This window comes from Homo sapiens, chromosome 7 (genome assembly GCF_000001405.40).
Source record: "Homo sapiens chromosome 7, GRCh38.p14 Primary Assembly".
In the NCBI taxonomy this organism is placed as follows: domain Eukaryota; kingdom Metazoa; phylum Chordata; class Mammalia; order Primates; family Hominidae; genus Homo; species Homo sapiens.
Genome location: NC_000007.14, coordinates 23410124 through 23423554, shown reverse-complemented (window position 1 = coordinate 23423554; position 13431 = coordinate 23410124). Strand labels below are relative to the sequence as shown.

General features: G+C 43.0%; 1 protein-coding gene across 7 annotated transcripts in view, besides 1 other annotated feature; it reads left to right on the top strand.

Annotated features, from left to right (window-relative positions):
- The window catches only part of IGF2BP3 (insulin like growth factor 2 mRNA binding protein 3), a 160283-nt gene that overhangs the window by 46937 nt on the left and 99915 nt on the right, over positions 1-13431 (top strand). For all 7 annotated transcript variants that reach the window (NM_006547.3, XM_011515089.3, XM_047419782.1 and 4 more), the window contains one exon: positions 4731-4779. In NM_006547.3, the coding sequence (NP_006538.2) occupies positions 4731-4779 (49 nt within the window). The remainder of the gene's footprint in view (positions 1-4730; positions 4780-13431) is intronic.
- Positions 12662-12741: an enhancer, noted in NCBI's record as "active region_25725". NCBI's record gives its function as "activates an Ori minimal core promoter by ATAC-STARR-seq in GM12878 lymphoblastoid cells {active_cell/tissue: GM12878}" and the evidence as "EXISTENCE:reporter gene assay evidence [ECO:0000049][PMID:35858748]".

Below are 13431 nucleotides of genomic sequence, written 5' to 3'. Positions count from 1 at the left end.
TTGTTATGGAGTGTGCATCCTATGTATTTATGTATGTTTTAGGAGATGGTGAAATGCTAATTTATTTTCTGATAGTTATATTGAACTTTAATGACTTGGTAATTAATATGATAGAAACACTCTATTAAAATATGAATACCTTTTCTTGACTTGTAAGTATTTAGAATCAAACCCAAATATAAACTCATTCTCAAATCTCAGATGGAACATGACCAAAGAAGCAGTAGAGTATTTTAATTGTGTAGCTGACTGAGATAGATTTTTCTCCAGTTCTTTCCATGCCAGAAGTTTGTATTTATCTGTGCTGGATGATTATAATTCATGCCTTTGGTTCATTCTTGTTAATGTTGAGACTTTTGGCTCTTGTACTGATAAGAGCAGAGCACGGGGTTAGGAGCCAGAGGTAAACGTCACACAGTTTAAGATTAGTTACTGAGCAAATGGGAAAGAACAATTCTAGATATCAAACGCTAACTGCAGGGCTGGGCGCAGCGGCTCACGCCTGCAATCCCAGCACTTCGGGAGGCTGAGGCGGGCAGATCACTTGAGATCGGGTATTTGAGACCAGCCTGGCCAACGTGGTGAAACTCTATCTTTACTAAAGTTAGTGGGCATCTAATAATCCCACCTACTAGGAAGGCTGAGGCAGGAGAATTGCTTGAACCTGGGAGGCAGAGGTTGCAGTGAGCCGAGATTACGCTACTATACTCCAGCCTGGGTGAGAGAGCGAGACTCCCATCTGAAAAACAAAGCACAACACTGCATAAAAATAACTCAGATGTTTGTCTAAAATGAAACTTAAGAGTATCAGGTAAGGGAAACGAGAAAACCATTTAAGGGAAATAATTATTCTGGAGTAACATCCAAACTTCCAATAATTAAATGGGTGTTGGATGTAAATTTTGAAGAGTGGGTAGAAAATCCGTGGGATCCTTGAGTATGAGATTCTTAAAAAGTCTTTGGGAAAACATGGCAAATGGATTGCTTTGTGTGCGTGTGTGAGACAGGGTCGCAATCCCTTGCCCAGGCTGGAGTACAGTGGCATGATTATAGCTCATTGAAACTTTAAACTCCTGGGCTCATGTGATTCTCCCACCTCAGCATCCTGAGTATCTAGGACTACGGGCGTGTGCCACCACACCACGCTAATTTTACTCCTGGCCTTAAGCACTCCTCCCACCTTGGCCCCCCAAAAGGCTGGGATTACAGGCATGAGCCACTGTGTATTGCCTGGATTACTCTTAATAAACAAAAGATAGTATCCTCTTTGTGAAGTGGATATTTATTTTTGTAATATGTATGATCACATGCTAATTAACCTGAACTCTCTATGTATATTTACATGTGTACTTTTGGGAAAATTTTTTGGTAATATATACACCCTCCAAAATGAGGCCAGTGTAGGTGTGAATACTTAGTTTCTTAACTCTGCTGCTAATCCTTACTGTGTTAGATACTTGATTAAAACAGAATAGGGCCAGGCATGGTGGCTCACACCTGTAATCCCAGCACTTTGGGGAGGTCAAGATAGAAGGACTGCTTGAGCCCAGGAGTTCAAGATGAACCTGGACAACATAGCAAGACCACCATCTCTATAAAAAAACTAGCTGGATGTGGTGGCATGCATCTGTAGTCCCAGCTACTCCGGAGGAAGAGGCAGGAGAATCCCTTGAGCCCGGGAGGCGGAGGTTGCAGTGAGCTAAGACCACGCCACTGCACTCCAGCCTGGGCGACAGAGTGAGACTCCATCTCAAAACAGAACAAAAACAAACAAAAAACCAGATTAGTACTTGCATATATGTAGTAAATCATACCTTCATTAGTCAGGTAAATACAGTGTGAGCACCTTTTTTTTTTTTTTTTTGAGATGGAGTCTCGCTCTGTCACCCAGGGTAGAGTGCAGTGGCGCAATCTTGGCTCACCACAAACTCTGCCTCCCAGGTCAAGCAATTCTCCTGCCTCAGCCTCCCGAGTAGCCGGGATTACAGGCATGTGCCACCATGCCCAGCTAATTTTGTATTTTTAGTAGAGATGGGGTTTCTCCATGTTGGTCAGGCTGGTCTCGAACTTCTGACCTCAGGTGATCCGCCCACCTCAGCCTCCCAAAGTGCCGGGATCACAGGTGTGAGCCACTGTGTCCGGCCGCAACTTTCTTTTAATTGAAGCAACATATAACAGTTGTGAAATCTATGAATTATAAATCTTTTTATTAGGGTATATTTTTTAAACCTTTTATAGAAAATACTGCCAGGCACAGTGGCTCATGCCTGTAATCCCAGCACTCTGGGAGGCCGAGGCAGGCGGATCACTTGAGGTCAGGAGTTTGAGACCAGCCTGGTCGACATGGTGAAACCCCGTCTCTACTAAAAATACAATAATTAGCTGGGTGTGATGGCGCATGCCTGCAATCCCAGCTACGCAGGAGGCTGAGGTGGGAGAATTGCCTGAACCCGGGAGGCAGAGGCTGCAGTGAGCTGAGATTGTGCCACTGAGTTCCAGCATAGGCGACAGAGCGAGACTCTTGTCACACACACACAAAAGAAAAAGAAAATATAAAACTTACATAAAAGCAGAGAGGTACCTGTCCTGAAGCTTTAACAGTTATTACCACATGAGTTATTTTGAAACAAATCCCAAACTAGCATTTAGTCTGTAAACTTGTACTAGCTATAGTTTGGATTTTTGAATCTCTTAAACTGGCATTCTCTTTTATTTCTTTGGTATATTTTACCTTGATGACTGTGCTTTTACTTTGTCATGAAAATAATGTAAAAGTGCTTCTCTTCCTTCCCTCCTCCATTTTATGATTGTAGACAGGATGTACCTGAGTTTAGTTAATCTAGGTTTTCTTTGTTGTTCTCGAAGGGATCAATGGCAGCTGTGGTATTTGTTTGTTCTCACCCTTTTGGGGAAAGGGAAGAGGCAAAGGACTAAACTAGGTTATGAATCTAGACTAAACTGGTGTTTTCCTCAGATACTTCAAAATTGTGGATTATTTGACCTGGAAAGAGAAGTTCACTATAGTTCTTTGTTTTTTTTCTGTTTTTTATTTTTCTTTTTTCTTCTCTTTTCTTTTTGAGACAGGTTGTCACTCTGTTGCCCAGGCTGGATTGCAGTGGTGCAGTCACAGCTCACTGTAGCTTTGAACTCCTGGTCTCAAGCAATCCTTCCATCTCAGTCTCCTGAGTAGGTGGTACTACAAGCATGCAACACCATGCCCAGCTAGTTTAAAAAAATTTTAAAAAGATTTTTGTAGAGATGGGGTTTGGCTATGTTGTCCAGGCTGGTCTGGAACTCCTGGGCTCAGGTGATCCTCCTAAAGTGCTGGGATTACAGGCATAAGCCACAAGGCCTGTCCTATAGTTCTAATTGTGAAAGTTAAGTAATTTATTTCACTTGAGATGTCAAGCTCAATTGCTAGTTTTTGTTTTGTTTTTAATAGCTAGTTGACTATAAATTCTTCCTCCTTCAAAGGAGGTGACTGGCATGTGACTTCTATGGTATAGTCTCATACAGTTAACATGCAGTTGTGTTATATGTGTCGCCCTCTTCCTTCCCTTATACATACATATATACATGTGTAGGGAGGCATTTGGACTAAGGTGCTGATTCTTAACATTTTCTGTACTGTGCACTCCTTTAGCAGTCTGAAACCTATGGATCTCTTCTTATGTTTCAGTATGTCTTATTTTTTATTTTTTTGAGATGGAGTCTCGCTCTGTCGCCCAGGCTGCAGTGCCGTGATGCAATCTTGGCTTACCGCAACCTCCGCCTCCCAGGTTCAAGTGATTCTTCTGCCTCAGCATCTGGAGTAGCTGGGACTACAGGCACCTGCCACCATGCCCAGCTAATTTTTTGTAATTTTAGTAGAGGAGGAGTTTCACCATGTTGGCCAGTCTGGTCCTGACCTCCAGACCTCAAGTGATCCACCTGCCTTGGCCACCCAAAGTGTTGGGATTATAGGCCTGAGCCACTGTGCCTGGCCTCAGGATGTTTTAAAATGCATAAAATACGTAGGATTATAAAGGAAACCAATTATTTTAAAATGTAGTTAGCAGAATGTTAAAACTTGGTGATAGGTGCTTAGTATAATAAGCAACAAGTTCTAGCAACACATCTAAGTTTCACAGTAATGAGTATAGATGATAAAGATCTCCAACAGTCTAATGTGGTATGAAAATATCTGATTTATATTGATGTCAAAATTACAAGTACTGTAATTCTGTGGTTTAGTGCCAGCATTCATAATTGAAGGACGTGTTAAATTTCATTTAGGGGATAGTGAAGATAAATGTGTAATTTCCTGCCACCCACACCTCATTTTTATTTCCCTGAATTTTATCCATGGACTCCTTAGCTGTAACGGTCAGAGTAAGGTCACCTGGACTAAGGCCTTGTTTGTGTCCTGGGATGCCTAATTTGAAGCTAACGGATTTGAACTTAGAATGTAGTCATCAGATAAGTGTGTTTTAAACATTCTATCTGCCAATTTTAGTGGCTTTTAAAATAAGTCATAACAGTCCGATAAATGCTGGATCTCCAAATGGTCTCTATGCATTTTATGACTTTGCTTCTTTGCTTTTCCTTCTTGGGCTGTATTTTCTTAATAGATATTGGTTTGTAATTAATATAGAGTTAATATTTTAAGTAGTTTCTAAACTTCCATGTTGGCTATTATTGTTTTGCTTTTATGTTTTTTTCTTTTAAAAAACATTTTAATTCTTCTGCAGGATTCGGAAACTTCAGATACGAAATATCCCGCCTCATTTACAGTGGGAGGTAAGAATTTCTGTATTTAAAATTAAGATCTAAGTATGGAAGCCTATTGCTGTTAGTTTTTTCAAAGCTTTTTCTCCTTTCCTCAACTCTTGGGTGTGCTAGAACATAAAATTCTTCTCCTATGACCCGTGCCTTGGTGTGGGTTTTTCTTAGTAAGGGCACAGTGTATCTTTTAAAAATCTGCTCTTTGGGATAAGAAACCAAATATTGAAATATATTCTTGGGTAACTGGGTAATCTTTCTCATTCAGTCACTTCCCAACAGGATTTTGTTGATTTCAGTTCTTTCTGATGAGTTTGCCAATTGTATTTAAATATGAAGTTCCTATCTTGGCAAAGTTTTAAAAAGACAAATACCTGCTATTTTGTGCTGTTACTTTAAAATGTTATTCTGCTTCCTTTTGCTCAGATGGTGGCACTGCACTGATTGTGTAATATGCATAAACACAAACTATTTAGCACAATTGAATAGCCTGTGTCAGCAGTTTCCAAAGCATAATAATGATGTCATGGTGAGAATCTGAGACACCAGTAGTTGAAGGGATAAAAGAAAATGTCTTTTGACTCTTCAGACAATGGAACCTGAAAGTTCTTAAAACCCACCTTGGAGAGGGTGGTGCAGAGAAACTGCTTAGCTTTTATGTATCTCTAATATAAAAAAAATCAAGACTAACTAGTTTTGTGTGTTTTAGACTAGTCTTCTAAAATGACATTTGATGAGTCACTAAATCATAACCCCCATCAAAATGCAAAGTTTGGTTAAAAGGTTAGTTTGGTGGGAAGTTGATCTAAGTCTGATTCTCCAAGGTTTCTCAGTTGGTCACAGGTGATTTGTGCTGAGAATATTTATCTTCAGAACAGTATTATTGAGATTAAGCTTTGCAGGAAGGGGTTGGTTTTTGGTATATGCTGAATATATTGCAAGTTATATAATGCACTAAAAATATACTTTATAGATGGAAACGGTGGGTTATAAGATTAAACTTTTTACATGTTCCTGTTTTAGATTAACATTTATTTAGGGAATTCAGTAGCTTGTGGGATAGGTCCTCAAGTGTTGTAATAGCAAGATTACTAGTTCAATCCCCTTATTTTAAGATGAGCCATATTAAATATGATTTAAAATGTAATTTAATATGATTTTTTTTGTTCAGGAGCTACATCTGGTATGATGTAGCTTTCTATGAAACAGCCAAATGGTAGAAACCAAGTTTAAGTAAATTATTAGAGTACTAGCATATCTGCTATGGGCAGAGTTTCCTTTTAATTCATTCATAATCTCTTCAAATTTAGAGAATTTAGCTTTTAGTTTATTGCATTTTCCCTTATTCTGGGTATTTGCCGTATCTAACTTTTCTTAATTTTTGTATTTCACTTTACTCTCCTCATTGTCCTTTGAGGTAGTGTCAAGTTAGTGGATTATCTCTGTTTTCAAATGGGCAAATATGGGCACGCAAGATAAAGTTAATTAAGCAAGAGCACATACTGAATCGTAAGATGCTTGGAACTAGACTTTGGAATTCTTCACCTTTGACTCCCTTTAAAAATTTAATGATTATTTACATATTGATCAACAAAAACAATTTTATTGAGAGTTCGTTAGGAATAAGATGGGCTGCTGCTGTTAGGTGTTTCTTTCCTTAAAGGCTTGAGGGAACACTATTTCCTTTTTGAGAAGGGTCACTTTGTATGTTTTTGTTTGTTTGTTTGTTTGTTTTTTGAGATGGAGTTTCGCTCTCATTGCCCAGGCTGGAGTGGAATGGTGCAATCTTGGCTGACTGCAACCTCCGCCTCCCAGGTTCAAATGATTCTCCTGCCTCAGCCTCACTAGTAGTTGGGATTACAGGCATCCGCCAACCACGCCTGGCTAATTTTTTGTATTTTTAGTAGAGATGGGATTTTACCACGTTGGTTAGGCTAGTCTCAAACTCCTGACCTCAGGCGATCCACCAGCCTTGGTCTCCCAAAGTGCTGGGATTACAGGCGTGAGCCACTGCACCCAGCCTGTATATATTTTATTTATTCACGCTGGGTATGCCGCTTGTTTTGTGCCAAAGCCTTATCATAAACAGCGATAATTTTGCAGTTCTGGACAATTTTTATAATGGAAGATTAGGCATTGAGTCCCTGATTAATCTTAGAATCACTGAAAGTGGAATGACCGGACCTTATGTACCTTCTACTTTAATGCAGTAGAATATACATGTCACCACAGAGGAAATAGTCTTATCTCAATAGGTTCAACTGGCTTCAGTCTTAATCTAACTTTGAGTTTACAAGAAATACAGAAGATAGAGTGACAAATTAAATGATGCATCAAAGAAACAACTAGCCATGTCCTAAATATGGGATATTCCACAGGACATCCTGTTTTGCTAGAGGAGCAGTGGGATGAAAAAAGGAAGGGGCCTGTTACAGAGTAAGACTCAAGAGGATAACAAAAAAGCACTATAGTAAGTTCTCTGTGAGCAATGTAAATAGCCCTGTGAAGCAGCTTGGAGCACCTAAAAAAGCCTTATAGTTGTATTTTATTTATTTATTTTTATTTTTTTTGCAGGAAATGGGGCAGCCTTGAGGTCAGACTTGGAATTATGTCCTAGCTCCACTACTTTCTCATTGTGTGATCTAGTTATGGGATCTCTGAACAGGTTTTTAAAATTCTTTGAGCCTCATTTTCCTCTTTTCTAACCAGGGGTGATGATGGTGGCCCCCTCATTGGGTTGCTTTGAGCATTAAATAGGATTATGCATGATAAAGCCTTTAAAACAGTGCTTGGTACATATAAGTACACAATATGTTTTAGCTATGATATAATAAGAACAACAAATTCACCAGCTCTCAGCCTTAGGTTTTGTGCTTGTCTCAGTGAGATCCAGGCAGGAGCACAGATAACATACTCGGTATTTCACCAGGGAGAATCACACAGGTGCTGAAAGGCGAAAGAACAAAGAGAATCCAGAGTAGTGACTGTAAGGAGCAGCCACGGCCTGAGGGTTGGAAGGCCAAAGAGGAAGTTGAGGTTTTGGATCCTAGAGACTTGGAGGGAAGAGCCCTGAGCACCTGAGACTTAGATTTCTGAGCCATGGGAGCTCCTTGGCTATGGCTGGCGCCTGGGATGTGGGGAGGAGAGAGGAGTTATACATCTTGTTCAGAGTGTCCAGAGGAGCTAGAGGCTGTAACCAACTGCTGATTCAGTGACGCCGGCTGACAGACAGGGACCTGCGGATGCGGTGATGCCGACTGACGGACGGGACCTGCGGATGCAGTGATGCCGACTGACGGAGGGGGACCTGCGGATGCGGTGATGCCGACTGACGGAGGGGGACCTGCGGATGCGGTGATGCCGGCTGACGGAGGGGGACCTGCGGATGCGGTGATGCCGACTGATGGAGGGGGACCTGGCGATGCGGTGATGCCGACTGATGGACGGGACCTGCGGATGCGGTGAAGCCGATGAACGGGGACCTGCGGATGTGGTGATGCTGACTGACGTACAGGGACTTGGTGATGCGGTGATGCCGACTGATGGGTAGGGACCTGGTGATGCGTTGATGCCGACTGACGGACGGGACCTGGTGTTGCAGTGAAGCCGACTGACGGACGGGACCTGCTGATGTGGTGAAGCTGACTGACAGACAGGACCTGGTAATGCAGTGAAGCCGACTGACGGACGGGACCTGCTAATGTGGTAAAGCCGACTGACAGATGGGGACCTGCGGGTGGGGTGATGCTGACTGACGGATGGGACCTGGTGATGCGGTGATACCAACTGAAGGACGGGACCTGCAGATGCAGTGATGCTGACTGACGGATGGGGACCTATGGATGCAGTGATGCTGACTGACGGAGAGGGACTTGCAGATGTGGTGATGCCGACTGATGGACAGGGACCTGCGGATGTGGGGATGCCGACTGACGGACAGGGCCTGCTGATGTCGACTGATGGACGGGACCTGTGGGTGTGGGGATGCCGACTGACAGACGGGCAAGAGCATGTCATCTCTATCCCGACTCCTGCTTTCTAGTACCCCTCTGGTGCCTTCTATTGGCAGAAACTAACAGGTAACAGCTGGCAAAGGAGAGATTAGAGTCCATAGTCCTAGACCTGGCATCACAAAGCTGAGAAGTACATTTGGAACTGAGAGCTTATTTTTCTTTGTTTGCCCTAATGCCTCATATACCCTGTCAGTCTGATGGAACTGAGAGCTTAATATCAAGGCAAACCTCTAACCTTGAAGTAAGACAATCTCCTGCCCCAATTCTAGGAGTCATCTTGTAAGCCAGATTCTGTGAAGTCACTGAAGAGGTAACAGAATCTGGGACCACAGCAGAAACGCTTGTGACGTTTGGTGTTTTGTAAGATCTGTACCTGGAGTGTTACCTTTCTGTTACTGTTAGATCTTTATTATTTATGTTATCTGTATTCCACCATATACTACTAAATGATCAGAAGGGGATTCCTCAAGTTCTCTGGACCGCATATCTTACATGCTGTGTCAAGCAGCTTTAAACAGTTTCTAACCACTTAGTTTTAGATGATGATAAAGCACTTATGGGTGGGCACTGGATTCTGCTAAATGTTTATGGCAGATGAAGATACTGGGAGACTAACTTTTTTTTTTTTTTGGAGACAGAGTCTTGCTCTGTCACCCAGGTTGGAGTGCAGTGGCACAATCTCGGCTCACTGCAGCCTCTGCCTCCTGGGTTCAAGTGATTCTCCTGCTTCAGCCTCCTGAGTGGCTGGGACTACAGGTGCGCGCCACCATGCCCAGCTAATTTTTTGTATTTTTAGTAGAGACGGGGTTTCATTGTTAGCCGGGATGGTTTCAATCTCTTGACCTTGTGATCTGCCCGCCTTGGCCTCCCACAGTGCTGGGATTACAGACTAACTTTCTGAAGGACTCACTGCTAGAGAATTAGGTAGGTTTGTTTTCTCCCAAATATATGGAATATAGCAAAGAAATAAGGGAAAATGGTGGTTTCTCATCCATCCTGTTTTGCCTGAGGTACCTGAAGAGTAGACTCAGTGTGACCAGACTGGAAGGATTCCTCCACAGAAACAGTCCCAGCAGACAACGATGTGGATGTTCAGATGCCACAGGGGAAGTGTACATTAGAAGGAGGATTTGAGAGCCCTTCCTTAAATGGATAAGGGTAGGGCTTTGGGAGAAAGCCTTAGTGGAGTACTTGACATTAAACACCTTTAGATATTTTTTCTTTTGCCTACTCAATTTCTCAAGTGGGCTCCATTTTCTAAATTTAAGGAATGTCTTTTTGTTGTTGTTTTGTTTTTGAGACGGAGTCTTGCTCTTTCATCGAGGCTGGAGTGCAGTGATGCGACGACCTCGGCTCACTGCAACCTCCGCCTCCTGGGTTCAAGCAATTCTCCTGCCTCAGCCTCCTGAGTAGCTGGGATTACAGGTGCCTGCCACCACACCCGGCTGAGTTTTGTATTTTTAGTAGAGACAGGGCTACACCATGTTGACCAGGCTGGTCTCGAACTCCTGACCTCAAGTGATCTGTACATCTCAGCCTCCCAAAGTGCTGGGATTACAGGCGGGAGCCACTGCGCCCGGCAGGAATGTCTTTTTGTATGTAAAAAATACACAGTAAGTGGGGCCAGTTGCGGTGACTCACGCCTGTAATCCCAGCACTTTGGGAGGCCAAGGCAGGTGGGTCACTTGAGGTCAGGAGATCGAGACCAGCCTGGCCAACATGGAGAAACCCCATCTTAACTAAAAATACAGAAATTAGCCGGGTGTGGTGGCACAGGCTTGTAATCCCAGCTACTCAGGAGGTTGAGTCAGGGGAACCTCTTGAACCCGGGAGGCGGAGGTTGCAGTGAGCCAAGATCGCACCACTGCACTCCAGCCTGGGTGACAAAGCAAGACTCTGTCTCAAAAAAAAAAAAAAAAAAAAAAAAAAAAAAAAAAAGGCCAGAGTCTTAAGGAAAGGATTTCTCAGTTTCTCCTAATGTTATTTCCTTGAAACTACTCTCCAGTCAAAAGAATCAAAACTCCTAATAAGTACTCAAAAAATGCCCAAAGCTGGGGGTACCTTCCCTGAAGTGAAGCATAAGACCTTATGTAAAGGAAGACATTAGGTAAATGAAGTGGTCCTAGAGGAAAGGGCAAGGAAGGTTGTCATTTTGGGGGCTGATGAGGAAGGTGAAACAATATTTCCCTGTGTTTACTGTGTGGGGAAACAGCCTATGCACCAGGTTCTCCATGCTGGTGGGGCCCCCACATCACTCATGACTGGAATGACTGTTTTCCGAGCAAAGATTTGAATACGTGATCTGACAGGTACTTATGGGGAATACATACTTAAAAATCACAGTCTTGCTAGAAAATTCAGAACGTTTCTTGGTTTTACTTCAACACTTGCATATTTGATTTTTTTCCTGGACTTAATTGATCTGGGAAGATGAGTATTAAGTGAGGCTCTGGTCAAAGAAGGGAAACCAAGTATTCCTTATTTAGAAGAAACAAGTAGGCCTGGTATGGTGGCTCAGGCCTGTAATCCCAGCACTTTGGGAGGCTGAGGCAGGCAAATCACTTGAGGCCAGGAGTTTGAGACCAGCCTGGCCAACATGGCAAAACCCAATCTCTACTATAAATACAAAAATTAGCCAGGCATGGTAGCGCATGCCTGTAATCTTAGCTACTCAGGAGGCTGAGGCACAAAAATTGCTTGAGCCTAGGATGCAGAGGTTGCAGTGAGCTGAAATTGTGCCACTGTACTCCTGGGCGGCAGGCGAGACTCTACTGAAAAAAAAAAAAAAAAAAAAAAGAGAAATAAGTGGGAAAGTAGTGAAGAAATAAGTAAATGGAAAAGTAGTGATGCCATGTTATCTAGTCTGGAGGAAAAACGAAACAATACCATAGTTAATATAAAATAGCTCAGAGAGACCCCACTGTAAGCCGTGGATGAACGTGTGCTGAGAAGTGGAAAGCTGTCTTGAGGTTTGTGGGGAGGTAGATGACTTCCTGGGGAAGAGAGTAGGCAGGGACCACGGAGTGAGTTAGGTGACATCCCTGCTGGATGTTGGCATCTTTAAAGGCAGGAACTGTCATTCATCTTCTGTCCAACTGCTGATTGTTTTTGATGCTGTGTTAGGTGCTACTTGGTCCATGTGGATACAGGAATTAATGTCAAATAGAAATTTGAGAAGCATTTTATTTACTTACTTTTTGAGACAGCATTTCACACTTGTTGCCCAGGCTGGAGTGCAGTGGCGTGATCTCTGCTCACTACAGTGTCCACCTCCTGGGTTCAAGCCATTCTCCGCCTCAGCCTCCTGAGTAGCTGGGATTACAGGTGTGTGCCACCACGCCCGGATAATTTTTGTATTTTTAGTAGAGACGGGGTTTCACCATGTTGACCAGGCTGGTCTCAAACTACTGACCTCAGGTGATCCACCCACTTTGGCCTCCCAAAGTGCTGGGATTACAGGCATGAGTCACTGTGCCTGGCTGAGAAGCATTTTAGGTGTAATTGGCAACATAAAGCTAACACCATGAGGTGCTTTAACTCAACAGAAGAAAACATCTGTAGAAACAGTGACGTTGAGACTGTCCATGAGCTGAGCGAGAAGTAGTAATGGGAGTCAGAGATGTTAAATATTAGAAATAACCAGTTTAAAGGTTGCCTTTATAGCAGACAGCTTGGAGTTCTAAATAAATAGCAGATAAACTGCATGTTCTCGGTAGGTGCCTTTCTTCTTCTCAGTGGCCTGACTTTGAGCAGGCCACTCGGCCAATAAGTAGCTGACACGTACTAGGCACTTATGTGCCGGGTACTGAATTAACACGTTTTAATCTTCACAGCAGTCCCATGTCCCCACTTTACAGATAAGGCAGTGGTGGTACAGAGAGGTGAAGTAGCTTGTCTGGGATCATGCAGCTGGAAAGTGTTAGTGTCTCCTCTTAATCAGGTTGCTCTAACAGAAAACTTCCTCCCAAAGGGTTGTTCCTGTTTCTTCTAGTTATTATGATTTGGTTTCAACATGCCTCTGAAAAGCTTGACAGTGAAGCCAATAGAAACTGGATCCTCCCCAGGTCTGGACGTAATGTATGGTTATGAGTGATGAATGAATTTCATTGGGGAAGTTATTAGTAAAGTTCTCTGTTTAAAGAACTGTAGACATAGAGTTCTTCATGCATGGCTGCTCTGGGATGGGCCAGACTTTACATCACTAGAGGTAATCTGGTGATGGGTGTGCAAGGGGAATACCAGAGTTCTCTACAACCGGTATATATGAATGGTGTATGAGGCAAGCATTTCTGACCCCACCCTGCTCCCTCCATGTTTACCCCATGTCCTTTGTGCTATGCTGCCTGGACTTTTGTCCTGTGCTTCTGTCATTTTTCTGGATATGATCATCTTAAAGGTCATCATGCCCTTTATCAGTTGATTGAGACAGAATCTTGACTCCTATCGCCCAGGCTGGAGTGCAGTGGCACAATCACAGCTCACTGCAGCCTTGACTTCCTGGGCTCAGGTGATTCTCCCATCTCAGCCTCCCCAGTAGCTGGGACTACAGGTGCATACCACCACACCTGGCTATTTTTTTTTCTTTTGTATCTTTATTTTTAAAAAAAATTTTAAGATGGAGTGTCGCTCTGTCACCCAGGCTGGAGTGCAATGGTGC